The 27,245-nt window shown below is 51.4% G+C and overlaps 1 protein-coding gene and 1 long non-coding RNA gene across 9 annotated transcripts in view, besides 5 other annotated features; one reads left to right on the top strand and one right to left on the bottom strand.

Annotated features, from left to right (window-relative positions):
* Positions 1-27,245, top strand: part of SLC29A3 (solute carrier family 29 member 3) — a 62,165-nt gene that overhangs the window by 20,580 nt on the left and 14,340 nt on the right. For 2 of the 7 annotated variants that reach the window (NM_001363518.2, NM_018344.6), the window contains exons 3-6: positions 4,371-4,453; positions 11,724-11,950; positions 16,243-16,405; positions 22,116-23,547. In NM_001363518.2, the coding sequence (NP_001350447.1) occupies positions 4,371-4,453; positions 11,724-11,950; positions 16,243-16,405; positions 22,116-22,770 (1,128 nt within the window). In that variant the 3' untranslated portion in view covers positions 22,771-23,547. Of the gene's footprint in view, positions 1-4,370; positions 4,454-11,723; positions 11,951-16,242; positions 16,412-22,115; positions 23,548-24,607; positions 26,538-27,245 lie in introns of those variants that run through there. The other 5 variants (XM_047425424.1, NM_001174098.2, NR_033413.2 and 2 more) reach the window with 5 other exon arrangements.
* LOC105378353 (uncharacterized) lies at positions 835-8,229 on the bottom strand. Of its 2 annotated transcripts, XR_946051.3 has the most exons (3): positions 8,064-8,229; positions 1,470-1,543; positions 835-1,204 (listed from the first exon to the last, which is right to left on the bottom strand). It is a non-coding gene; the product is annotated as an uncharacterized LOC105378353 (long non-coding RNA). The 2 variants fall into 2 exon arrangements; XR_001747496.2 differs by having other exon boundaries at positions 835-1,543.
* Positions 4,398-5,103: an enhancer, noted in NCBI's record as "OCT4-NANOG-H3K27ac-H3K4me1 hESC enhancer chr10:73103993-73104698 (GRCh37/hg19 assembly coordinates)". NCBI's record gives its function as "activates a minimal SCP1, AML or CMV promoter by ChIP-STARR-seq in naive H9 embryonic stem cells {active_cell/tissue: H9 hESC(naive)}" and the evidence as "EXISTENCE:reporter gene assay evidence [ECO:0000049][PMID:30033119]".
* Positions 5,810-6,515: an enhancer, noted in NCBI's record as "H3K27ac-H3K4me1 hESC enhancer chr10:73105405-73106110 (GRCh37/hg19 assembly coordinates)". NCBI's record gives its function as "activates a minimal SCP1, AML or CMV promoter by ChIP-STARR-seq in naive H9 embryonic stem cells {active_cell/tissue: H9 hESC(naive)}" and the evidence as "EXISTENCE:reporter gene assay evidence [ECO:0000049][PMID:30033119]".
* Positions 11,115-11,615: an enhancer, noted in NCBI's record as "H3K4me1 hESC enhancer chr10:73110710-73111210 (GRCh37/hg19 assembly coordinates)". NCBI's record gives its function as "activates a minimal SCP1, AML or CMV promoter by ChIP-STARR-seq in primed H9 embryonic stem cells {active_cell/tissue: H9 hESC(primed)}" and the evidence as "EXISTENCE:reporter gene assay evidence [ECO:0000049][PMID:30033119]".
* Positions 11,616-12,116: an enhancer, noted in NCBI's record as "H3K4me1 hESC enhancer chr10:73111211-73111711 (GRCh37/hg19 assembly coordinates)". NCBI's record gives its function as "activates a minimal SCP1, AML or CMV promoter by ChIP-STARR-seq in naive H9 embryonic stem cells {active_cell/tissue: H9 hESC(naive)}" and the evidence as "EXISTENCE:reporter gene assay evidence [ECO:0000049][PMID:30033119]".
* Positions 19,747-19,836: a silencer, noted in NCBI's record as "silent region_2462". NCBI's record gives its function as "represses an Ori minimal core promoter by ATAC-STARR-seq in GM12878 lymphoblastoid cells {active_cell/tissue: GM12878}" and the evidence as "EXISTENCE:reporter gene assay evidence [ECO:0000049][PMID:35858748]".

Consider the following 27,245-nt stretch of genomic DNA (forward strand, 5'->3'; position numbering starts at 1 on the left):
CCCCAGAGCCCCTCCTTCCATGCCCCCCAACACTTTGTATCTGTTGTACTCCAGCTCCAGGCTTGCGTCCACCTCCCCGAGGGCACGCAGGTGCCACAGCTCCTCCGTTGTATCCACCCAGCCACCAGCACAGCACTGGCACACGGGCTTGACACCTCTTCAGCAAACAAAGGGACAGGTCAAAACAGGAAGAGGTGCTGACCTGCACAGAAGTGGCTGCCCAGCCAGGGCTGAGCACCATGAGATTACTAACCAGCCTAAGGGTCTCCTGCCCAGGGCCCTCCTGCTGGGGCAGAGAAACTTGCTTGGGAGGCCTGTCACCTCCTAATGTCTTTGCCCTGCATCCACCTGCGTTCCAGCCCTGCCTTCTTGCTGAGTCATACCCAGCCTTTCACCTCTGGTTCTATAAGGCCCACATTGACCCCCAGGCCTCCAGGCTTTTAGTCAGCTATGTAAACAGAGCTGCTGTGGCATAATTCTGAGTGGCGCCATTCCTATCACAAGCCTACAGGTCTGGTGCCCCTGGAGTTGTGCAAAGTTCAACCTCCACCATCATACACAGTGGCCCCACTGCCAGCTCCCTGACGATCTTCTCATCCCCCAACTCCTCTATGGCTGGAGCTGGCCTTTGGGTCCATGTGCTCATCTCTAGAAGTGGAGTTGGTTGTAGGGGTAGAACAAATCAAAACAGACTTTTGAGGGAGCTCTCAGGAATCAGGCCCCAGTGGAGGTGAACTCTGTGAACGATCCCCAAACACTGCTGTACATAAAATCCCCCATTCATTAGATGGATGGATTGCTTTGGGGGCAGTCTTGTTACCATCCTAGTCACAGTGAGTTTGGAGCTGTATTCAAATGTTTTCACATTTCCGTAAGTAAAATGGGAGAAGATAGCCCCAACACCTCTTGGAAGCAAATGAGATGAACCCAGGAGGGACATGCCAGCTGCCTGGCTACAAAGTAAATAATCAAGAGTGGAACGTAGACCTTCGCCGCTGGTTTCTTAGGAAGGCAGTGCTGGTGGGAATACTCCATCAGGGAGTGCGGTCCAGGGAAGTAAGAGGGAGGGAAAGGGAAGTAGGGCTGGGACACAGAGAGCAAACACAATGGGCGATGGTATTTTGGAGCGGCCACAGCTTTGCAGCAGCACACACGGAACACCTTGGAAAAGTCTTGTGGAGCCACCACGTTCAGAGCAGCCAGTCTGGGGAGAGGAGAGGCGGGCGAACGATCTGTGGGCTCCTTCCAGCTCCTGCCTCTCATTGGTTAAAGTGGGTCTCACGGGGCTTGACTCCCCCATCCTCAGGGGAGCGTCCCCCACCCCTCTCACAGCCACTGGTGCAGCCTAGCAGGGCGTGGGGTCTCTCTGTGGGGGTCAGCTCCTCCTTTGGTGGCAGTGGTGGCAGCAGTGGCAGTGATTTTATGACCATGGGACCAATGGCTGTGGACAGGGGACCAAGGTGAGTTACCTGAGGGGCAGGCAGGGTAAGTCCGTCTGGAGCAACATCCACTAAGTCCGTTTCTTGAAATCAGCACATGCCACCTGCAAAAACCCTAATTTCAGCAGAGGGTTTGGTGGGGAAGGGCTGCAGGGACTGGTGTGCTAACCCTCTGTGCCCCTCATGGGTGAGCACACTGCTCCTCCTGTCTCTTGGGGGGTCAAAGAAAGGAACATGATCAACTGTCCTGGTTTTCTTCAAGGAACTGAATTTAAATTGAAACAGGAAGGCTGAAATATTCAGGAAAACCCTGATTAGTAGGAACCCAGCTATCGGAAACCCTCATGAATTAGGAATCTATCTCTGCCTAGCAAAATACTACAAATGAGTGGCTTAAAACAACCTGGATTTATAATTACAGGGTTTCTGTGGGCCAGAAGTCCAGGCACAGCTTAGCTGGGTCTCCTGCCTGAATTTGCACAAGGCTGCAATCAGTCAGCCAGAGCTACAGTCTCCTCTGAGGCTTAGCTGGAGAAAGGTCACTTCCAAGCCCACTCCAGTTGTTGGCAGAATTCAGTTCCTAGTGGTTGTAGGCCTGAGAGCTTCAGTTTCTTGTGGGGAGAGGGCTGGAGACCGCCCTCAGCAACTTGGGGTTCCATGCCAGGTAGGGTTCCCCAACATGGCCACTTGCCTCCCCAAATCTGGCAAGGGAGGAAAAGAGTCCAGCAATGTGGGTGCTACAGTCCTATGTAACACCTCATGTTTGCTCTACTCTCTCGGTTGGAAGCAGCCACAGGTCTCATCCACACTCAGGGGAGGGCATCGCACAGGTGTGAGCATCAGGAGGCACGGATCACGGGCCACCTTAGAGTCTGCCACCACACCTCATTTTAGAACTTTTCCTATAGGCAAAAGCAGCAAATAATTGAATACAACCCACCATGTGTTTCTATCAGGAATTAAGTGGTTTGTTTTTATAAATTCTGTGGGATGTGCTGAGTCAACTCCTGTCACCATGTGCATCTCCATCTCCTGATCTGTGCTCATGGAATGATGGCCTGGCCTCAAGTCTGTTCTCTGAGTTCTTTGTAAGGCAGAGAAATGGGCCCAGACAACAGAAAGAGACTCAGAGTCTTATCCAGTGGTCAATATCCAAAAAGCTTTTCAACATTAAATGATACCTTTTACTGCTTCAATATCAACAAACAGGCACATTCAGTTACCTGAAAAATTCTCATTCAGGGAACCTGAGCCTGCTCGAAGAAACAAAATCATCAGAGATTCTGCATTACACAGATCGAGCAGCCACTGGATGAAGGGGCCTCACCGGGGCTTGGGCTGGGGGCAGACGCAGCCCCATCTGCAGCCCTCTCCTCCTAAGGGCCTCTCTCCTTCATTCTACTCAGTGTCCTCCCAGCCTCAGAGGCCCAGCCACTGTGTCAAGATGTAATTGACTGAGTGCCCCCGACCAGTCCAGGCTCTACTGAGCCCATCAGGGCAGGAACAATGAGGTGCAGCTCAAAGGCTATTTCTCAGGCTCATGGTTGACGGACCTCACTAGCTGCGATTATCATTTTAATTGCAAGGCCACCACAGCCTTATATTCAGGGTACAGATTTCAAAGACCACAAAGCACTCTGCAGGCTTCAAAGGGAACTATGGAAGGCTTGTGCTTCAGACTCAAAGGGGCCCATGACATCTTTCTTTCTGTTATTTTTTAGAGATGGGGTCTCACTCTGTTGCCCAGGCTAAAGTGCAGTGGTTTACTCACTGCAGCCTCGAACTCCTTGCTCCAGCAATCCCCCTGCCTCAGCCTTCTGAGTAGCTGGGACTTACAGGTGCATACCACCATGCCCGACTAATTTTTTTATTTTTTGTAGAGACAGAGTCTCACTATTTGCCCAGGGTGGTCTCCTGGGTTCAAGCCATCCTCCCACCTTGGCCTCCCAAAATGCTGGGATTACAAGTATGAGTCACCATGCCCAGCCTTGTTTTGTTTTTAAAGATAGGTATATTAAGAGATAATGCACACATAGTACAGTCCATCCTAATGACTGGACATTCTTTGAGTTTTCACAGACACATACAGCTGCCACACAGCTGCTTTAGCTGTGAGTTCCAGCACATCATAATCAGGCAATTCATCTGTCTGTGTTTGCACAGTTCTTTGTCACACCCCTGAGCTGCTGCCAGAAAATGCCCTTTTTCCTCATTCTGTGCAATCTAGGAGCTACTTCCCCAAATGGCTTTGACCTTCTGTAGCTGCTCTATCAAGAGAGAAAATCCAGAGTGAGAACAGAGTTTCCCTGTAGGGAGCAGGGCCTCTTGTATATCTAAGAGGTCACTTTGTGGCAAGAAAGCGAGAATGTGGTTGGGTCACAAGAAAACCCAAGCGAGCGGTGCCTCATGCCTGTAATACCAGCACTTTGCGGGGCCAAGGCGAGAGGATCACTTGAGCTCAGGAGTTTGAGACCAGCCTGGGCAACATAGCAAGACCTCGTCTCTACTAAAAACTTAAAAACAAAAACGTGGATAGTCTTGCATTTTGGTGATAGGCCAAGAAGGCTGATAGGTCAAACTTTTCTTTTCAGACATAACACTGAGTTCTGTCCCCATGGCCTCAGTCCATGGGCAGAAGTGTGGGCTGCACAGCACCAAGGGCCTCACTGGGGACAGGAACGACTTATCCTTCCTATGCCTCTAGCACTTAGTACAGCTGACATTGGCAGCTATTTGTTGAGTGGCTGAGTGAGCGGTCTTAGGCTGGAGATGGGGTGGGGCCTTGTTTGGAGGTGGGCTCACCCACGGCTCCTGGGTGTCTGAAGACAGTGGGGAGAAGCCCCACAGAGAGGGGCCCTGTCTCTGCTCGCGTGGAACTGCTCACCTCCATCCCTGAGTGACCGCAGCACCTCCTCACTTGTGTGCTTGCAGAACTACTTTGAGAGCTACCTTGCCGTTGCCTCCACCGTGCCCTCCATGCTGTGCCTGGTGGCCAACTTCCTGCTTGTCAACAGGTAGGCGACTCTCTTCCCTCTCTCAGGCCTCTGCCTTGGTCTCCTGCCTCCTCTACTCCCCTCTTGCCTGCAGCTGCTTTTTTTCTGCCTACTTAAGTGGTGGTCACCAAAGTAGGATGCAGCAGCTCAGATTTATGCATGAAGAGTGAGAAGTCAGATCAGATCCCTGGTGATGCCCCCAGGGAGCTGGGCTGTCACTCTCCAGCCACATACTGTGACATCGCTGTGACATTGTGGCAGCAGCCAGTGGGAAGTGTGTGGGGATGCAGGGGTCTTCCTCCCTTCTCTTCTCAGGGATCCTGTCAGTCTGCAAGTCTGTGGCCCAGAATGGGTCACCTGACTGTTCAGTGCTAAGCTGGTAACACCAGCTCCTGTGTCAACCACTCCCAAGAGGGCTCACGGGGGAAGTTCCAACATTGTAATGGTAAGGGCCACGAGAGGCTCCATCTGGATATGCCTGGGAAGGAGTTATTCAGGAGCTAGCTGGGCAAATTAGCATGTCCATAGACCCCCGTGGGTGACTTGCTGGCTCAAATTCTCAATTTGAGTTTACAAAGACAATAGCCCTAGCTACTTTGCCTGCATTTCTCCTAAGCTGCCACTAAATGATATCAATGGCTATGTTATGGTCGGTCCAGAAACCTGGGCTGCTGTTCGCCATGGCCTACTAAAACCTGAGGTCACTGATAGCAAATCTGTTTTGCCCAGTTCTAATCAATTTGTAGTGACTGCCAGATCTCTAGCTGGACAAGATTCTAAGGCAGGTCTGGCTTCAGGGAGGGTGCTGGGATTGATTAGTGATGTCTGCTCTGGGTGCAAGAGGAGAGAGGGCACCACGAGTGTCTTTTACATGCTGAGCCTGAATAGATCAGTCTTTCCAAACATATTATGTCATGGGGATATTGCAGTTATCTGTTACATAATATGATCCCAAAGCATAGTGGCTTAAAACAATACAAGTCATGAGTACTTCTCATGTTCTGGGGGTTATCGAGGTTCAGCTGTCATACTCTCTCCTGCAGTTGCAGTCAGATGGCAGCTGGAGCTGCAGCCATTCATATCCCCTCTCTCTCTCTCTTCTCTCTTTGTAGTGTCACATGTCAGCCTCAGGGTAATAGGATGGCTTACCCAGTGGCTGAGAACAAGGGAGAGGCTGCGTGGTTTTTACAACCTGGTCTTGGAAGTCATGTGCTGTCACTTTTGCCACACTTGACTGGTTTGGGCAGTCACAAAGCCCCCTTCATTTCAAGGGGACATAGATCCCACCTCCCAATGGAATTTGCACCCTTCTCCAAACCAAAGTGCAGTCTGGAAGAATGAGAAGGAGAGGGGCGTTGCAGCCCCTCTCACCAGCCAACTGGCCTTCACAGGCCTCACTCCTGCCTTCGAAGCTAGGGCCATAGTCAGTGTCCTAGCAGAGGGGGCACAGCCTGCGGAGACCGCCACCCCAGGAGGAGAGTAGAGGAGGGCAGAGCAGGGGTCCCGGCTGCGCCTCGCAGGAGAGAGGGTGTGTTGAGAGCCAGTGCAGGCAGGAGCAGGAGGCGAGGAAGAGGGGAGACAGCCGTGGTGGGGGGAGCCCTTGGCTCACTTATGGTTTTATCTGTCTACTCGCTCAGCCCGCCCAGAGGATGTGGGGCTGTTTGTCCAGCCCAGATAGCCTAGAGAGAGCTCCCAGCCCCTTCCAGTTCCAGAATCACCATCTGAACTATAGCAAGAGTGTAATGCCTCGATCACCCCTTGTCATGTCCCTTAGGCTGCACTGCAACCCAGGAGGGAGGCTGTGACATTGCCTCATTTTCCAGGTGGAAATCAGGAGACCACAGGGGCACCATGGGACAGCTGAGTCTGCCTGTTGCCTCTTCAGTGGTCTGGAGGTCCCACAGGCTGAAAGTACTCCTGGGCCATGGGTCAGGAGTGGCAGGGAACGTCCAGCCTCTGGGCTGTGAGAGAATGCTAGCCAATTAACAGTAGCACTTCTGAGCATTATATCCTGCAGATGCATTATCTCTTTTAACCCTCACGGCAGCCTAAGAGCTGGAAACTGCTGTGACCCTGGTTTGAGATGGGAAAACAGGCTCATGGAGGTGACTGGCCCAAGGGAAGGTGGCCATTAAGGATGGAGCCAGGCGGAGTGCAGTGGCTCAAACCTGTAATCTCAGCACTTTGGGAGGCCAAGTCAGGAGGATTGCTTGAGCCCAGGAGTTTGAGAGAACGCTGGGCACTATAGCAAGATACTGTTTCTACAAAAATAAATTTTTAAAAAATTAGCCTGGCACGGTGACACATGCATGTAGTCCCAGCTACTCAGTAGGCTGAGGCAGGAGGATCGCTTGAGCCGAGGAGTTCAAGTCTGCAGTGAGCTATGGTCACGTCACTGCACTCCAGCCTTGGCTAGAATGAAAGGGAGGAGTCAGGATTTGAACTGGGACCTTCTCACCCTACATCTGTGCTTGGAACCCCTGAGCCACCTACATCCTAGTTCCCCAGCTTTGCACCCACCCCTGCCCCTGCAGGCAGAACCACTCCCAAGATCCTTCTAGTGAGAGCCCTGTCTCTCCGGGATTCAGGCTGCTGCGATGGAAGGGGGTGGTTAAGAAGGGCTGGGTCTGTCTCCAGTGAGATGTGGGCCCCCAGGCCAGCTACCCTCTGAGATTGGGTCCCGGCAGATGGCTCAGCAGTTACAGGACATTCTCAGAGGGAATTAGCCCACCCCTGGCCTGCCCCTGCTCCTCCTAGGCTCTAGGAGAGGGGGCAAGGGCAATGCAGGAACATCCTCTGAGGCCTCCATCTGTTTCCAGGCTGTGGGAAGATGGTCTGGGGCTAAGCTGTTTTTTATTTAATGTGCGAGATTGAAAAGTCTCCTTTTCTCCCCTCCTGGAGAACCGTGGCTTTCCCGACTGGCTTATCCATAATCGCCAAGTGTTTTATTATGTTAAATCTGCAGCATCATAAATACTTATGAGGAGGATTTACATCTTGGAGACTTATGAAGAAATCATAAGTGGGGTCCTGAGCCCTCACGAGTCAGGGAGTCGGGGGACCGGCAACCTGGGTACTGGAGGCAGCCTCTCCAAGAGTCTTCACAGGACTGAGACCTGCCCCAGGGTCTTGGTCTTGAAGCTGTCCTCTTGGCCATGCCCTGTCTCCAAGTAGAACCCCAGACATTACAGCAGCTGAAAGTCTAGACTTTCCTAAGACCCTAAGAGCACGACTGTCCCCTGGGCCACTCTCCCTTCCTGGGTGGAAGCAGCAGAGAGGGAAGCCAGTGTCCTCTGTTCATGCCTGTGGACCAGGCTTGCAGCTGGCACATTTCATGAAGCTTGATGAATGTTGAAAATAGCCCTAGAGCCCACGGATGGAGGCTCTGGGCAAGAGTGGTTTATGCAGCAGATAATTAGCAGGCGGGAAGGAGACCTGTGCGGGTGAAGGGCCATGTAGGGGGACAGAGGAGGGGACAGAGCAGCGTTCCACACTGCATCGTTTCTGGAATGCATTTGGTATTGACCTCCTCCTCTCTGATTCCTCCCCAACTTTCCTGCCCTGGGGGTACCTGAGTAAGCAGTCCCCCAGCTCTCTGCAAAACAACCTTCCTGTTCAAGGAACTTATTACCTTGTAGCGACAGGCACACAGGAGGGCTCCCATGATGCTGCACCATTCCTGCTGGACTTTTTCCTGGCCGTGTCTGTGAGGAGGCAGTTAGAGGCAGAGGCCATTCCCGAGGCTGGCGGATGCTTCCAGCTGGACTTCCTGCCATGCTGAGGCAGCAGGGATCAAGAAGCAGACAGCCGCTGGGAGGTTCAGACCAGCATGAAACCTCCCCACCCCCGGGTGCTACTGATCTCCCTTGCTTGTCAATTTGTACATCCAGCAAATATTTACCCAGTGCCTGCCAGGCCCTGTGCCTGTGCTGGGGGAGAACAAGGCAGGGCTCTGCCTTTGCAGCGCGCCTCATCTTTCCAGCCTGGCCTTTGCCTCCTTCTTGCCCCAAGGAACTGGTTCAAACTTCTTGGCATTTGTTCCCAACCTCTCTCTCCACTTGAATTTTTTCAGATTTAGAATCATTAGCTGTTAGGGACCTTAATATTATCGGGTCTAGCTGCTTCTTTTTAGAGATGAAGGGACTGAGGCCCAGAGAGGTTGAATATTTGTCAGGGGTTACACGGAGAGCCGATGACAGAGCTGGGCAGGGCTCCGGTCTCCTGACTCAGGCTCCATGCCCTGCTGGCCCTTATCTTGGGAGTGGGTGGGACAGCTCCAGCTGCTAGGAGAGGGTGGGGACACTGTGTGACAGAGCTGAGTGTGTAGGACCACCTCGAGCATCAGGGGTAAGTCTTGACTGCTGGCCTCCAGGGCCCCTGCTGTACTCTTACGATAGATGCTCCGGGCCGCCAAGGGTCCAGGTGTCTACCTGGCTGCCCAACAGCTCCTGTCCAGGCCAAAGCCCCTGCAGACCTTGAGAAGATGTGTGTCAGTGTGAGGTCTTCATGGGCATCTTAATGCAAGGTTCCCCACAAGCAGGCCCTGAAACAAGGATTCAAATGCGAGTAGTTTATCTGGGAGGTGAAGGTGGGAGAGTATGGAATGGGGACAGGAAAGGGAAGGCAGTCAGCAGAGGATGCCTTATCAAGTCAGCTCCTTCAGGAGGGACAAGAACACAGTCCTGCTGGGGATCTTGGAGAGCCAGTGTGGAGCATGGCTGAGCAGGAGGGAGCTGGGGTATTTATGTACCAACTTCCCTAGTCATTGGTTGAAGGCTGCTCTTAGGAGGTGTTCCTTACCTGTCACTCCCAGGTAAGTAACACCACTCCTGGAGTTGTAAAAGGGAGGGCACATGGGCAGGACACCAGCAGCATTGCTGTAGCTTCTGACCATATCATTCCCAGCTTGAAACCCTGATGTACCTCTTTGCGTTAGTGGGTACTTTGAGTACCCACAATAAAAGGATGTCCTCTTTAAGTGAAAATTAAAGGCAGGTCCACCTTTAGGCATCTTTGGATCTAGGGGATCTCCTCTGCACCACCCCTGGGCTCCGTGTGTCTCTGCATGGCTTTTCCTCCATGTCTAGCCTCGCCCTACGCAACTGGCTAGATGGCAGCCAGCAGCCCCAGACACAGTCTCGGCAGTGAGCTTCTCTCCACGGCTCCCATGTAGCAGTCCCAGGGAAGACTTAAAGATCCTATGTGGGTCACATGCTAATTCCTAACTCAACCCCAGGGTCTAGGAGCAGGCAACACTGACTGCCCCAGGCTGCGTCACATGCCTGTTGTTTGTGGCTGTGTGGGTGTGGGTGTGGGCAACCTGGCTGACCACCTCCCCAGGATGACTAGGCGAAGGAATGTTCTCCCAGGGAACATTGTGCTGGCAGACAAAGGCCCCACACCCCGCCCTCCTCCAGGACATGAGTCCACGCCTCTCCCCAGCATCACCTCTGTGCTCCTCTGCTCGCATCTTGACTACAGCCAGAGTCCATTTGCAGCTCCCTGAACATGCCTCACTCTCTCTCCCAAGACACATGCACTTATATCCTCCCATTCGTCGTTACCATCCAGCATAGACATTGCCTCCAAATGGCCTTCCACGATGCCCAGGGTGGGTTTTGTGCCCCTCAGATGTGCTGTGTGATGCCCTGGGGCCTCCTGATGGAGCACCTACCACAGTGAGATGACATATCTGTTGCTGGTCTGTCCCGTGTCCTGGGCATCCAGCATAGTACTGGACACACAGTAGTTGCTCAATGCACATTTGCGGAATGACCACACCATTGAGTACACATGTTAACAGACTGAGTGATGGGCTGGGGCTCAGCACACCTGGGTTCTCATCCCAGCTCCCTACAGACTCACTCCACAACCTTGAACTGTCCCTTCATTTCTTGGGCTTCCTCATACCCCTTAGAAAGCAGTGACAGCACCTGCTCTCCCTTTAGCTGAGGACCAGAGGGAAACTCAAATTAGCCTGGGGCCACAAAAGCACTTTGAAAAAATTCCTTTCTTGCTTTTCTTGCTCATCATTTCACACCTACGTGTGTGTGTGTGTGTGTGTGTGTGTGTGTGTGTGTATTTTTCCTACCTTTCAAGTTTTTCTTTTTTTAATTAAAAAAAAGTATGTAATCTGGCTTTTCTCCCAGCCCCCTCCCACTGGTTAGCAGGAAAATTAACTACACATCCAATCCGGTTTAAAGCTTAGTCTAATCTGATGATTTAAGCAGCCCCTTGAGATGATGTTCTTGCTTCCTAGAATAAAAATGTGCAGCTTCTCAGATAGAATCCTTCCCTGCTTTTCTCCCCAGGCCAGTATGGGGGCTGGGAAGAGTACATGGCTCATATGCAGGCATGGTGCTGGGGAGTGTGGGGGTTCCCTTGGCCCCAGGCAGCACTAACTTGGCATCACCTGCTCCCCATGATGACTGAGGCCATCACAGGAGGATGCCCCTGCCCTGGCCACCACTTCTGTGCCATCCATATTTCCTCACTCCAGGGGAGGCAGTAGAGCATCATTCTGAGAACTGACCAGAGCCAGGCCTCCTGGGTTCATTGCTGAGTGACTTTGAGCTAGTTCCTCAGCCTCTCTGATGTCAGCTTCCTTATCTGTATACATGGGATAGGTACGAATACCTGTCTTACAGAACCGGTGTAACAATCAAACACACTGGCATACAGAAAATGCCTAGAAGAGTGCTAGAAAAGTATGCATTAAACACTGTTTGAGTGTTTGCTATGGCGACGATGATGATGAAGATGACGACGATGATTTTCTTTCCTTCTTCCCTTTGCCCCCAAACCTCCTGCTAAGTTTTGGGGAAAGGAAGCTCAGTGGGTGGCTGCTCTGTTTAAACACTAGACAAAGCCAGCAGGAGCTCAGCCCTGTGGCAGGAAGAGCAGGGGTTTGCCTTGAACATCCTGGTGTCCTCGTGTCCTTGAACCTCACAGCAAGGTGAAAAGCAGCAGAACCCACTGAGCGCTGGCCCTGAGCCAGGCACTGCCGCTTGCACCCCACACTGCTCACCTCTTCAGCCTCACCCCCCTGTGAGTTGAATCAACTCTCCCCATTGTACAAGTTCAAAAGCTGAAACCAGAGCAACTGAGTCCCTTACCCAAGGCCACACAGCTAGGGAGCCGGGAAGGCAGGATTCGAGTGCAGGCCTCTTGACTGCAGAGTGAACAGTCCTAACTGCTAAGCTCGCCTGCTTCCCTTAAGGTGGCTCACCAGCCCCAGCCCACACAGGAGCCCCGAAGGGGTGTCTAACTGCTTCTGGCATCCTCGCCCCAGGGTTGCAGTCCACATCCGTGTCCTGGCCTCACTGACGGTCATCCTGGCCATCTTCATGGTGATAACTGCACTGGTGAAGGTGGACACTTCCTCCTGGACCCGTGGCTTTTTTGCGGTCACCATTGTCTGCATGGTGATCCTCAGCGGTGCCTCCACTGTCTTCAGCAGCAGCATCTACGGCATGACCGGCTCCTTTCCTATGAGGAACTCCCAGGCACTGATATCAGGTGAGAGCCAGGGTCCGGGCAGCTGACCAGGTTCATCCACCCAGGAGTCATGGGAGGGAGCCAGAGATGAGCATGTGGTGGCCTTTTCTGAAAAGGAAATGGCATGGGTGCTGATTGTGTTTCAGTCATCTAGTGTTGTAGAACAACAACGGTCATTTCTACTACTCACAAATTTGCAGCTTGGACAGGAGTTTGCAGGTGTAGCTCTTCTCTTCTCCCCATGGCATCAGCCAGCATAGCTCGACGGGGAGCGGAGGATCCAGTTCCAGGTGGCACGCCCTCCTGGCTGGCGTGTTGATAGTGGCTGCTGGCTGGAAGCTTAGCCAGGGCTGGGCTGGGGCCAGGGACTTCCGTTCCTCTCTATGTGGACCTCAAATGGCAACTTTGACTTCCTCATGGCATGGTGTCTGGGTTGCAAAAGCCGGCATTTCAGGAGATCCAGGCAGAAGCTTTATTTCTGATTTAGCAAAAGAAGCCACATAGGGTCAGTTCTGCCATAGCCATAAGCTCACCCAGACTCAAGACAGATGGACCCACCTCTGGGAGAGTATGAAAGTCTCCCACCGTGACTGTGAGAAGGTAGGCAGGAGGGGAGACAGAGTCGCAGCTATTTTTGGATAACATGGTCTGCCTACAAAAGGCAATTCCTGAAACCAGCCTTCCTCCCTTTCCTTCCCTCCTTCTCCTATTCCTCTCCTATTTTTCCTTTTCCTTATCTTTCTTCCCCTTCTTGTCTCCTTTCCTTCCTTCTGTCTTTTCTTCCTTTCTGATTTTATAGAGGACCTGCTATGTCCTGGGGATGCAAAGATGAACAAGCACCAGTCCCCTCGGAGCTGATGGCTCAGTGAATAAACTCTCACCCCCAGCACCCCCAAGCTTTGGTATCCCGTGGGTATGCCTGTGCACGACGTGGGCCGACCCCTCTAGCTGATGTTTGATGCTGATGTTGATGAGCCTGTTCCGGAGGCCTTGGCACTTTTGTTCTCTAAGCTGGAGACACACACATCTCTCACCCAGATGACCCAGCCAGGTAAAAAGGAGCGGGTCAGGAACCATTGGTGCTTTGCCAGGAGGCCACAGTCCCTGGGAGCAAGACTGGAGGTTCTGCTGCTGTGTCTGCCCTTCCACATGCCCCTGTTATGCAGAGGAGAGCTCTAAACATTTGCCCACTGACAGCAATTTCACAAGGAACCTGTGCTGTGCCCCTTAGTTAATAATGCCAGGAAGCATGTGGCCAGGATGACAATACTTTGACAAGGGTATGTCCCTTCCCCACTCGAGCCAGTGCCAGACATCACTGGTGGATCTCTATCTTTCATCCTGAGCTTCTAAATCCTTCTCAGCGCAGCACTTGAGGCAGTTACTCTCAGCAGATCAGAGTCTAGATGTGAGCTTCAATCTGTTTGCCATTTCTGAGATCAGATTAGGCTTCTGGCTGTATCCTGGGAAACACTTGGGCCTAAGATAAAATAAAAATGGACTTGTTGCTAAGTTTCCTGGGTGCAGGCAACATGCATCAGCGATGCTTTCAAACGGGCATTTCTGGACTGAAGGCAGTGGCCACTGGACATGGGATTTAATTCCTTCTGTCACCGCCATCTCAGAAGGAGGCTCTTATCCCCTTAGTTCCTTCCATCCTTGCTGGCAGGCTCTCCAGGAGCCAGTGACCAAACTCACCATTTACATTGGCAAGCGGTCCTCGGGTTAATCTGTCCACCTGTGATCTTCTAGGGATGGGGAGTCTCCTATGGATTTTTCAGAAAGTCCGTTCAGAAAAGTGGGGAAGTTTAGTACTTCTACGCCAGTATTAATGACCCTGAGTCTAAACCGTGGTCACCACTGTATTGGGCCCTCGTGGGTGCCCAACACCCTGGAAAATCAAGGTGTCCCAGTCTTCCAGAGGCCACAAGACCACCTCGCCAGCCCCACTTGCTTTTTTCCAGCACAGCCCGTCTGTGAATTCCGCACGCGTTGGCATCTGAGGAACAATTCATTTGTTTTGCGCTGGTGTTTTTTTAAACCCCTCATTTGCATGTATTTCCATAACTGATGAGATAAAAGTGGAGAGTCATGAAGGATGAGCTCCCGGAGGCCTGGTTTGTTGTTGATGATAATATTGTAAATTCTCTACAAGTTGGAAAGAGAGAGAGGAAAATCAGTAGGCAGTGATGTTAAGATCTCCTCCTTGGGGCAGCTGGGGAGTGTCTTACTGAGTTTAACCCCAGTTCTTGCAAAATGTCTAGGCGGGGATTACAGCTTCTCAGAAGTGGGCATCCTCTTGGCAAAGGGTTTACCCGTTGTTGCTGCTTTGATGTGGGAAGCACAGAAATAGCCAAGCACCTAACTGGGAATCAGAAAGGATTTGTTTGGTATTTGGCACTTCTCCGCACCAGGCAGGCTTCTGAGTGCTTCACGTGTAATAATCCTTTTAATCTTCATCACAGCCCTACGAGGTGGGTATTATTAACACCCCCATTGTATAGATGAGGATACAGAGGCACAGTGAGGTTAAGGGACTTGCTGAAGGTCACACAACTAGAAGAAGTAGAGCCAGGTTTGGACTCGGATGTTTTGATTCTGGAGTCTGAGTTCCTAATTACAGTGCTAATTTTTATACCTTTGCCCTCCCTCAAGTACTACCCAGGCTAATAGAACTTATGGTGGAGAGGCTGGGGAAAGGATCCTCCGTCAGACCAAGGGCTATTCTCTGTAGAGCCATAGAGGCCACAGGCAGAGCATGGGGAGCCGTGATGGTGCGCACGGTGGACGGGGCCTGACTGTCCCCCTTCCCCTCTGCTTCGTGCAATAGTGGGCAGGAAAGTGGTGCTGTGTAAGAGCTGCCTGATGGAGACAGAGCAGGCCATGCCCACACGGACCCAGCCTTCTTCCCACCTCTTCAGGAATGGACATTCTGATCCTCTGAAGTGGGCAGGTTCATCCCGCCAGTCAACCCAGCTCATCCATCAGGCCCTTCCCGCATTGATGGTGATGGTGTTGGCCTTGTTGTCAGTGCTTTTCCACTCATCGTCCTGTTTCCACCTCACTACGGTCACCTGTGATGAACAGGACAAGTGTTAGCCCCACTTTCCAGGCAAATAAACACAGGCAGGGAAGAAAGTAAGTGATCAGCCCACGCTGGTGCCAGTGTTCCCAAGCAATGCTGCACACAGACCTTCTGACTCATGGCCAGCACAGGAAGATGACCCATGGCTGTGAGGGTTCGAAGGAACAGAAAGACATGTCTGCTGCCTCCCAGAAGCAACAATGCAGTCGTGGCGAGGCAGGGCATAGCGTTTGTTGAAGTCTACTGTGTGCCAGGCCCTTTGTGAACATCTCAGTCAGTCCTCAAAGCAACACACAGGGCAGGGGTTGTTATTCCCATTCTATAAGCGAGCAAACTGTAAAGTCAGAGAAGCCACGTTACCCCTAGGGTCCCAGCTAGCAAGTAGCAGAGTCCAGGGTGACACGTCCATCCGCCTGACTCCTAGCCCCGTTGGCACCCGAGTAGGTCGTGTGGCCTCCTCTGTTAGGTAGCAGTGAAAGGTGTGGCAGCCACACGGTCTCACAGGTAATGTGTGTCAAAGCCATTGGCAAGGAGAACATTCCATGTGGTGGGGTGGTTGCGTGCTTGTGTGTGCATGTAGGTGTATGACTGTGTGTGTGAGTGTTGTATGTGTTACACATGCATTCACATGTGCATGGTGCCACAGCCGCCTTGGGGTACACAGTAGGTTCTGTGAGCTCATGGGTGGGCAATGGTGGGGGTTTATAGCCAGTGAGGACACCCCCAGAAAGGGTGGCCTCTGGGCAGCAGGGGACCCTATGTGAGGACAGTCCCTGAGCCTCCTTCCCAGTTTGGTTGGTGGGTACTTTGGGCCGGGGGCAGAGAAGAGGAAATCCAGAGGTCTCTGGCACTTCCTGCCCCTAAATCTAAAATTTCAGCCCCCACTAGAAGGGCAATAAAGAGAGATGGAGGTTGAGGGTCAGAGGTGAAACAGGAAAGGCAGAGGACTGGTGGTCCCCTGAAGGCCATGTGCCACCTCAGGCAGCAGCCTCTTACAAGTCCAGCAGAGGGAGGGGAAAATGACCCCCTTGGAAACTCAGGAAATGCTGGAAATGCTTGGCTGCTGGGCCCTCCCTGTCTCTGAGGCTTCAGGACACTGAGAGAGCTTTGGCATTTTTCGCACGGAGGAATTTTTATTTTGGTTTGTGAAACCCAAGCAGGGAGGGGCCCGCAGCCACTCCTCCTCGCCCACCCCTCACCATCTCTGCGTGTCCTCTGTTCTCTGCAGGAGGAGCCATGGGCGGGACGGTCAGCGCCGTGGCCTCATTGGTGGACTTGGCTGCATCCAGTGATGTGAGGAACAGCGCCCTGGCCTTCTTCCTGACGGCCACTGTCTTCCTCGTGCTCTGCATGGGACTCTACCTGCTGCTGTCCAGGCTGGAGTATGCCAGGTGAAGGTGCCACTCACTGTCCATGCCTCCTTCCTGTGTATCCAGTTATAGCCATGCTTCTTTTTCTCAGCAGCTTCTATGCTGGCTTCTTTGTCTAGGTGCTATGGCTCAAAGCAGTTGTTCAACAAATAGGCTTGGCTGGTGGACGTGAGAGGCTGGCTCTGTGCCACAGTCAAGCAGTTGGAGCCTCAAGTTTAATCATGGTGAATAATAGTTCACACTGGTGAAACACAACCCCTTATTCCAGCGCTGTGTTCCTGCGAGCTTGATGTGTCCTACCTCATACAATGCTCACACCTCTATCCAGGCACCGTGGAGCACACCTGTAATCCCAGCACTTTGGGAGGCCAAGGCAGTGGATCGCTTGAGCCCAGGAGTTCAAGACCCATTCTGGGCAACACAGTGAGACCCTGTCTCTACAAAAAATAAAAAATTAGCTGGGCATGGCCGCATGTGCCTCTAGTCCCAGCTACTCAGGAGGCTGAAGTGGGAGGATCACTTGAGCCCAGGAGTTGGAGGCTGCAGTGAGCTGACTGCACTACTGCAATTCCAGCCTGGGTGACGGCAAGACCCTGTCTCTCTGAAAATGAACAAACAAACAAAAGACAAACTCACACTCCCCTGTTCCTCTTAGAGTACAGTACTATTATTATTTTTTATTATTCCCATGCACAGATTAGAAAACCAGGGTTCAGAGAGATTAAATTGCTGTTGTTTTAGTAGAGACAGGGTTTCACTCTGCAGGCCAGGCTGGAGTGCAGGGATGCAATCGTGGCCTGCTGCAGCCTTGACCTCCTGGGCTCAAGCTGTCCTTCCACCTCAGCCTCCCAAATAGCTGGGACTCCAGGTGTGCCACCACACCCAGCTATTTTTTAAAAAAGTTTTTGTAGGCCAGGCACGGTGGCTCACGCCTGTAATCCCAGCACTTTGGGAGGCCAAGGCAGGCCGGATCATCAGGTCAGGAGATCGAGACCATCCTGGCTAACACAGTGAAACCCCATCTCTACTAAAAATACAAAAAATTAGCCGGGCATGGTGGCGGGTGCCTGTAGTCCCAGCTACTCGGGCGGCTGAGGCAAGAGAATGGTGTGAACCTGGGAGACGGAGCTTGCAGTGAGCTGAGATCGCACCCCTGCACTCCAGCCTGGGCGACAGAGCAAGCCTCCATCTCAAAAAAAAAAAGCTTGTATAGAGACAGAGTCTCACTATGTTGCCCAGGGTGGTCTTGAACTCCTGTGCTCAAGTGATCCTCCTGCCTCAGCCTCCCAAAGTGCTAGGATTACAGGCATGAGCCACCATGCCCAGCACAAAGAGGTTAAATTATTACTTGCCTGAATCTCAGAGCCAGTAGGCAGTAGAGCCAGGCAGGATTTTAAGATGACTCCAAACCTGTGCTTGGACAACTTGCTGCCTTATGGGGCTCCTTTCCACCTCTAGGACCTGTTTTCTTGTCTCGAGTCTTACTCTTGCTTTCTGTCTCCAGTTCCTCCTTTTGCTTTCTTGCTGCCTGCTGCTTTTTATAAAAACAACGCTTGTCTTTCTCTCGTGTTTTATTCTTTTCAAAGCATTTTCCTATCCACTATCTTATTTGATGTAGGAAAGGCAGGAGTTATCCCCATTTAACAGGTGAGGAAACTGAGACCAAGAGAAGGCTAAGTGAAGTGCCAGGTGCGTTAGCCAGCAGAGCTGGGGAGAGATCTGCCCCTGATGCGGCCCTGTTCCACAGGAAGCTATTTTTTGCAGTGGCACAAAGCTAAGCAGTTTATGTGTATATTTTTGTTTATGATTTATGACAATCTGTGCAGCTGTGATCGTATTTTCTCACTTGAGAGCTGGGGAAACTGAAGCTTTGGAGAGTTCACAAGCATGCCCCAGGTCACTCATCTGGTGAGTCACGGCAGGACTGGAGCTGTTTCTGGAGTAGCCTCTCCCCACCGGATCATGCTGCATCCCTGGCTCGCAACTGCAAGGGCCTTATCTCATCATTCATTCTCCCTGTCCTCATGAGGAGAGTCACTTCGTTAACCCCTAGAACCCCCAGCCTTTCAGCAGAACAGCGATTCCCCCTGGGCTGGTAGTGAGCCACTTTCCCCAGCTAAAGGATTCTTCACCGCTTCAGCAGTCCTCAGGGTTCTGAGGATAGGAGGGGGCTGATCTGCTTGAGCTATGCAGTATCCCAGGCACCTACAGACCCCTGGGCTGCCCAGTCCTCCCCGCCCCTTCAGGGCTGTCATCAGAAATTGCCTAGCTGTGGCTCCAGGCTGACGTCCCCGTGCTTCCTGTGCCCTGGCTGGCTCTCCATCCCCCAGCATCCTGTACACTGCCTGGCACCTCAGCGTTGTGCCTTAAATGATTCTCCAGCCACTGAATGAACAGAGGAACAGGAGGGTCGCCCCACTCCTTGTGTTGTTTGCTCGTGTCCTGTTTCTGGTGCTTTGGGTGGGTCTGTTTCCAGCAGGGTAGCCAACCTTCCTTGCTTGCCTAGAGCCAAAGGAGCTCCCAGGACAAGGGACTGTAAGTATTAAAACCAGGACAATTTCAGGCAAACCAGGATGGTTGGTCAGCCTAGCTCCTAGTCTCATTTGGGCAGGCCAGAGTCCCTTCCAGCTGAGCATGTGAGACAGAGAACACCCAGGACCATGCTATCCTGTAGACGCTTCTATTTCTTTTTCTTTTTCTTTTTTTGTGATGGAGTCTCACTCTGTCGCCCAGGTTGGAGTGCAGTGGCACAATCACGGCTCACGGCAGCCTTTATCTCCAGGGCTCAAGCGATCCTCAAGTTAGCCTCCCGAGTAGCTGGGACAACAGGCATGGGCTGCCACGCCCAGCTAATTTTTGTATTTTTTGTAGAGACAGAGTTTCACCGTGTTGGCCAGGCTGGTCTCAAACTCCTGACCTCAAGTGATCCACCCGCCTCAGCCTCCCAAAGTGCTGGGATTGATTACAGGCACGAGCCACTGTGCCTGGACCGAAGCTTCTGTTTCTTTGCTGATTAAAACTAGGGTCTGGATCTGTGGGCTCACAGACACTTCTCTAAGGATGGGGCTCATGGAGAGAGCTGTGCTCCCAGGTCTGCTTGGACTAAATCTTCCTGAAAAGGCAAGCTCGCCCGTCCTACATTTGGGAGAGTGAGGCGATGCAGGAAAATTTGGAAGAACTTAGGAGGAAGAGCTGCGACCAGAGGAACTTGGTGGGGAATTTCCTGAGAGCAGACTTAAGGCAAGGACCTGACGACGCTGAATAGAGGGGAAGTAAGAATATTCCTTTCCGTAGATAGCGATTGTGAAACCAGACAGGGCTTTTGGCTGAAGCACCCCGTTCACCGTCACTGAAGAGTGATTCTGGATTCTGGGGACGGGCCCTCCCACACACCCACTCACCCACATGGGTGTTATCTGCAGGTCCTCAGGGTGGGAGGACTGACTGGGGCTTCAAAACTTCTTGGCTGTTTGAAACCTCCATTTTACAGAGGAGGAAGCAGGCCCAGAGAGGGGTGTGCCTGGCCCAAGATCACACAGGGAGGCAGAGACAAGGCTGAAACCAGAACCAAGTTACTGCTTACACACACACCCCTACACCAACTCCCTCTGTTTGAGCTGCATTAATACAGTCAGCCTGTGTCTCCTGGTTTTCAGATACCTGGGACCCAGAGAGGTTGAGTGGCTCAGGCAAGGTCACACAGTAAGGGAAAGTGATCTAAGCTTTCTTATTGGTCAGAGTGCAGAAGTTGGAAAGATTAATGATATTCAGTGTTGAGGATAAGGAAGACACTTCTATAGGCTGCTTCTCAGTTCTTTCAACAGTTATGTGTTGAAGGGCTACTCCGTGCCTGAAGATTTAGCTGGAAACAGTCAAATGTGGTCCTTGCTCCAGGAACCTGTCTTCTTCTTCTTTTTTTTTTTTTTTTTTTTTTTTTTTGAGACGGAATCTTACTCTGTCACCTAGGCTGGAGTGCAGTGATGCGGTCTTGGCTCACTGCAATGTCCATCTCCCGAGTTTAGGTGATTCTCCTGCCTCAGCCTCCTGAGTAGCTGGGACTACAGTTGCACACCACCATGCCTGGCTAATTTTTGTATTTTTAGTAGAGGTGGGGTTTCACCATTGGGTCAGGCTGGTCTTGAACTCCTAACCTCAAGTGACCCGCCCGCCTTGGCCTCCCAAAGTGCTGGGATTACAAGGATGACAAGAACCTGTCTTCTACCGAAGGAGACACATGATAAACAAGTAAACCAATGCAATTACTGTAGATTGTGGTTAGTTCTTTTGAAGGAACTAAACAGGTGCCTCTGGTAGAGATGAACAGGGCAAGTTACTTCAGTTAGGGTGGGTAAATGGTGCTGGGCAGAGTTAAACTGGTAGTACCTATTAGGAGAGCAGTTTATCAGTAGCTATCAAAATGTTAAAGGTATAAACCTTTTAATCCAGTAATTTCCTCTTCTAGAAATCTGCCCTACCAAAATACTAGTATACATGTGCAAGGATTTATGTGTAGGGATATTCATTGCAACATTGTCTGTAGTAATGAAAAGTCGAGGCAACCTAAGTGTCCATCAGTAGAGGAGCAGTTAAATTGTACATCCATCCGGTGAACCATCATAGAGTAACATAAGGGAGACATAGGCCACATGTTCCTGTGTAGAAGGATGGCCACAAGATACTGTTCTTTATGCAATTTTATGTATTCATTTATGTTTCACAGTTATGCATGATTTAGGCAGTTAGTATAAGGCATTTATATATATTATTTACAGATATTGTATTTAGGCATTACACTGTTGCAGAAAGTTTTACAATATGTATGGCTTGACCCCACTCTTGCTTAAGAAATGTAACTGTGTGAGTGTTGTTTGTGTGTGCATGGAACAGTATGTACCAGATTGGTTTTTCTGTTTTGTTTTGTTTTGTTTTGTTTTGTTGAGACAGGGTCTCGCTCTGTTATCCAGGCTGGAGTGTGGTAGTGTGATCATAGCTCACTATATTGAACAACTGGGCTCAAGCAATCCTCCTGCCTCAGCCTCCCCAGTAGCTGGGACTATGGGCATATACCACCACACCTGGCTAATTTCTTTTATTTTACAATTATTATTATCGTCATTTTTGTAGAGACAGAGTTTCACTTGGTTGTGCAGGCTGATGTTGAACTCTGGGGCTCAAGCAATCCTTCTGCCTCTATCTCCCAAAGTATTGGGATTATAGGCGTGAGCCATCATGCCCGGCCTAGAATGTTAACAGCCAGTACCACTAAGGAGTGAAATCAGAAGTGGGAAGAGGTCAGAGTCCCCTTTCTATTAATACTATATCATTTATTTTCTGTATTATTTGGGTTTGTTGTATCAAGCTTGCATTCCTTTTATCATTTTAGAAATCTGCATTTTTAATACTATTTTACCTCTACTCTCCTAAAATATAACAAAAACAGGTGAGCCAGGACAGGGGCCCAGACTCACCATGCAGTGGTCAGTCCTGGTTTCCTCTGTCCCTGCTCATGGCATGGCCACCGCGCTGGCAGGCAGGCCAGGGACAACGCAGGCCTTCCCCTGGCCACCCCGTGACAGCATCTGTCATCTCAGGGAACGCTGGAGCTGTGGGCATACGGGGCTTGGGCTCTCCATGCTGGGCTGGAAGGTTCTGTTCTGAGTGCCCACCCCTGGCTGTGCTGACTCAGATCCCAAGCAACCTGCTTGATGGTGGCCCTGTCTCCTCCCTGCAGGTACTACATGAGGCCTGTTCTTGCGGCCCATGTGTTTTCTGGTGAAGAGGAGCTTCCCCAGGACTCCCTCAGTGCCCCTTCGGTGGCCTCCAGATTCATTGATTCCCACACACCCCCTCTCCGCCCCATCCTGAAGAAGACGGCCAGCCTGGGCTTCTGTGTCACCTACGTCTTCTTCATCACCAGCCTCATCTACCCCGCCATCTGCACCAACATCGAGTCCCTCAACAAGGGTTCGGGCTCACTGTGGACCACCAAGTTTTTCATCCCCCTCACTACCTTCCTCCTGTACAACTTTGCTGACCTATGTGGCCGGCAGCTCACCGCCTGGATCCAGGTGCCAGGGCCCAATAGCAAGGCGCTCCCAGGGTTCGTGCTCCTCCGGACCTGCCTCATCCCCCTCTTCGTGCTCTGTAACTACCAGCCCCGCGTCCACCTGAAGACTGTGGTCTTCCAGTCCGATGTGTACCCCGCACTCCTCAGCTCCCTGCTGGGGCTCAGCAACGGCTACCTCAGCACCCTGGCCCTCCTCTACGGGCCTAAGATTGTGCCCAGGGAGCTGGCTGAGGCCACGGGAGTGGTGATGTCCTTTTATGTGTGCTTGGGCTTAACACTGGGCTCAGCCTGCTCTACCCTCCTGGTGCACCTCATCTAGAAGGGAGGACACAAGGACATTGGTGCTTCAGAGCCTTTGAAGATGAGAAGAGAGTGCAGGAGGGCTGGGGGCCATGGAGGAAAGGCCTAAAGTTTCACTTGGGGACAGAGAGCAGAGCACACTCGGGCCTCATCCCTCCCAAGATGCCAGTGAGCCACGTCCATGCCCATTCCGTGCAAGGCAGATATTCCAGTCATATTAACAGAACACTCCTGAGACAGTTGAAGAAGAAATAGCACAAATCAGGGGTACTCCCTTCACAGCTGATGGTTAACATTCCACCTTCTTTCTAGCCCTTCAAAGATGCTGCCAGTGTTCGCCCTAGAGTTATTACAAAGCCAGTGCCAAAACCCAGCCATGGGCTCTTTGCAACCTCCCAGCTGCGCTCATTCCAGCTGACAGCGAGATGCAAGCAAATGCTCAGCTCTCCTTACCCTGAAGGGGTCTCCCTGGAATGGAAGTCCCCTGGCATGGTCAGTCCTCAGGCCCAAGACTCAAGTGTGCACAGACCCCTGTGTTCTGTGGGTGAACAACTGCCCACTAACCAGACTGGAAAACCCAGAAAGATGGGCCTTCCATGAATGCTTCATTCCAGAGGGACCAGAGGGCCTCCCTGTGCAAGGGATCAAGCATGTCTGGCCTGGGTTTTCAAAAAAAGAGGGATCCTCATGACCTGGTGGTCTATGGCCTGGGTCAAGATGAGGGTCTTTCAGTGTTCCTGTTTACAACATGTCAAAGCCATTGGTTCAAGGGCGTAATAAATACTTGCGTATTCAATGTAAGCCTCATTGATGTCTCTGTTAGAGTCTTAACAAGCAATGGCACACTCAGATTAGGCAATTTGAGGATTTTTTAAAATTTATTATTATTATTGAGACAAGATATTGCTCTGTCACCCAGGCTGGAGTGCAGTGGCTCGATCATAGCTCACTGCAGCCTTGAACTCCTGGGCTCCAGTGATCTTCCAGCCTCAGCCTCCTGAGTAGCTGGGACTACAGGTGCACACCACCATGCCTCGCTAATTTCTGTATTTTTAAAATTTTTCATAGAGATGGGGTATTACTATGTTGCTCAGCCTGGTCTCAAATTCCTGAGCTCAAGCGATCCTCCCACCTCAGCTTCCCAAAGTGCTGGGATTATAGGTGTGAGCCACTGTGCCCAGCCTAATTTGAGGATTTTTTTTTCTTTTTTTCCTTTTTCTTTTCTTTTTTTTTTTTTTGAGATGAAGTCTTGCTCTGTCACCCAGGCTGGAGTGCAGTGGCTCAATCTCGGCTCACTGCAACCTTGAGGATGTTTTAAGAGCAGGTGTAGGAACCCCAGGGGGTTGTGCATTCTATCTAAAAACTAGTAATAGGCCATTCCAGCTCAGGCCTGATGTGGGGAGGGGAGGGAGTCCTAGAACCTAGGGAGTGACTTTGTCTGGGGATGGGATGGCCAGCCTGCTGTAACCCTGCAGGAGGAAGCTGAAGGAATAAATTCCCTCCATTCATCCTCTGATTTCCATGCCCCTTGGACTAAAGCCCAGCCAGCAGCAGGTGGAGAGGGTAGAGAGTGGCCTGGAGAAGCAGGAAGGTGTCTGGCCCAGAGTCTCATGCATTGCAGGACCAGCTAGCACCTTGGCTTTCACAGGTTTCTTTTTTGTGAACATCACTGAAGCTCTGAAGCTTTGAGCAGCAGGATTAGGTGTTGCTTTGTTCTGGTTTGTTGCTAATAGTTGTGTATGTTGAAGCTGTTGTTTCAAAAGACGACGCCCAGGTTCCATTGCTCTATCTGGGGGGGCTGTGGCCCCTCACATTGGCGATCTCCTGACATGAAGAGTAATTTATATTTTTTTCAGGTGTCTAGAAGGCTCCCAAAAGCCTATTCCTTGGAAAACAGCATGGCACGGGAATCAGAGAGAGAAAGGAACCAGATCAGACGAGGAGCTCTCTCTCAAGAGTCCTGCAGAAAGAACAGAACTTACCCCCAAGATGTGGCAACCCTTGGAGCCGTGAATCAGCCCTTTGCTTCTCTGCAGAAGCGCACTGGCTCATTGGTGCCCTGCAGAGGCTGATGAAACAGAAGCAGTCAGTAATCCAGCCGGTGGCAGCAGTTCATGCTCCCCACCGTCTCAGCCTAGTACACATTCCCTCTCCTTGGCCGAAGAATTAAAGAGGACACCTTGAAAGGGTTTCTGAACTCGATACCTACCAAAAAGAAAAAGTTCTCCCTTCCCTTTGCAGGAGCCTGAAGTCTCCCCCTTGGTTTTTTCATTGACTTTAGTGCTGCGGATGATTTGGGATGTTGGTCTAGCTGGTGACTCATCTCAACCACAAGTGTTTTAGAAATGAGCAGCATGGGCCGGGCATGGTGGTTCATGCCTGTAATCCCAGCACTTTGGGAGGCCGAGGCAGGCGGGCCACCTGAGGTCAGGAGTTCGAGACCAGCCTGACCAACATGTCGAAATCCCGTCTCTACTGAAAATACAAAAATTAGCCGGGCATGGTGGTGGGCACGCCTGTAATCCCAGCTACTCGGGAGGCTGAGTCAGGAGAATCACTTGAACCTGGGAGGTGGATGTTGCAGTGAGCTGAGACCATGCCATTGGACTCCAGCCTGGGCAAAAAGGGCAAAACTCCGTCTCAAAAAGAAAAAAAGAAAGAAAAAGAAAAAGAAATGGGCACCATGCCTGCCTTAAAGTAAACCAGCAGTCTCTGAGCTCAGAGATGGGGACCATCTTGGAGCGATCACCTTGCAGCTATTGGGGAAGGAGTAGTGGGGGTCTCTCATGCTCTGTTGTAGGGGAATGGGCTTTCAAAGAAGTGGAGGTGGCATCTCCATTAGAGAGATGATTTGCAGTTAGTGTGGAGCACAGGGGGAGTTGGGGGGCCAGCCATGGTGATGGCAGGGCATAGAGATGATAGACTAAGTTGCATCCACTTTGCCAGGGGAGGAGAGGCCGCTCTGTTGGGAGGGGCTGGCGGCTTGGCTGTTGGGGATCATCCAGGCTTTTGCTCACTCTGCTTGGTTACTCACCTTAGTGGGCACTTCACAGAGGGTCATTCCCTCCCAGGGAGGGAGGAAGGAAAATAAAAATCCATCTCCAGGCAGAAGGGTGGATGGGGGAGTTCAGACGTGCTTGTTCCCCCTCCGCCGTGAGAAGCAGTTCGTGGGCTTTGGCTGCTCTGGATCTCAAGTCTCATGTGAACCCAGCAGGCTTGGAACCAGCTCATATGTTTGGAGGGGTGAACAAAACTCACCAAAAAGGAGGGGAGTTTTCAATGAGGGAGGTAGAGGGGGTGCCTTGAGAGGTTGTCTTTATCTAAGAGTTCTCTGATTTAATTCCAAATGGCAGTTTTTAGGGCACCATACACATGTTCATTTTCCTTCTTTTTAATTTTTAATGTTTTGGTTTCTTTGAGACAAGGTCTCAGTTTGTCACCCAGGCTGGAGTGCAGTGGCATGATCACAGCTCACTGCAGCCTCGACCTCCTGGGCTCAAGCAATCCTCACACCTCAGCCTCCCTAGGAGCTAGGACCATGGGTGCCTGCCACCACACGTAGCTAATTTTTAAAAAATTTTTTATAGAGGCAGAGTCTCACCATGTTGCCTAGGCTGGTCTCTAACCACTCAAGCAAACACCGTGTTTGTGTTCTAGTGTTTTGTGAAAGGTAGAACTTGAGAGTGATGAAATCAGATGTTTGGCTGAGGACATTTCTATGCAATGTATTGAAAGTGTGGCTTGGCTCCTCCTGACTGCTTATAATAAAATGTGAGAGAGAAATGACTTAAATATGGAATGGTGAAGTGAAAAGGTGGGAGGACTCAAGCAATTCTCCCACCTCGGCCTCCCAAAGTGCTGGGATTACAGGCATGAGCCACCATGCCCAACCATTTTTCTCCTTTATTCAGTTAACAAAGCTACATGAGGGGACTCTTCAACCAGTGGGTGACAGGGATTTCTGAGAACATGCTTATTCCTACATGCATAGGAGCTGGGGGAAACTTCAACCAGGGGTGGTATTATGAGCAAAGACCCCTCATTCAGCTGCCTTCCACTCAGTGCTCCAGGGAGAAGACTTCGGCCTCTTCATCAGCTCGGAGGTGATGTGGGCGCTTAACTTCTGAGCCAGTGTCACGCTTTTATAGAGAACTCCACGTAGAAGAGGAGGCAAAGCCTGTTGACATATTTATAGTACATTCCAGTCGAATGTGAACTGAGAGCCCATGCATGTCTCCACTTGGTGGGCTTTCTGAGTGGGAGTACCTCGTGCCTATTCTACCATCGTCACTTCCTTGGTGGCAGCATTGTCAGTGCCAGTATGCCTCTGGGCCTGAGTCACTGTTGCTCTTCACCCACTCGCTGAGGCTGCCTGGTTCCCGGTCTAGCTTTGACTCCAGCAGGATCCTAGAAAGAATTTCTGCCCCACCATCAGGTAGAAGCTAGGACTAGTCAGGTAGCCATAGAGCTGGCTATTGGGAAAGGAGTAGTGGG

Source organism: Homo sapiens, chromosome 10, assembly GCF_000001405.40.
Source record: "Homo sapiens chromosome 10, GRCh38.p14 Primary Assembly".
In the NCBI taxonomy this organism is placed as follows: Eukaryota; Metazoa; Chordata; class Mammalia; order Primates; family Hominidae; genus Homo; species Homo sapiens.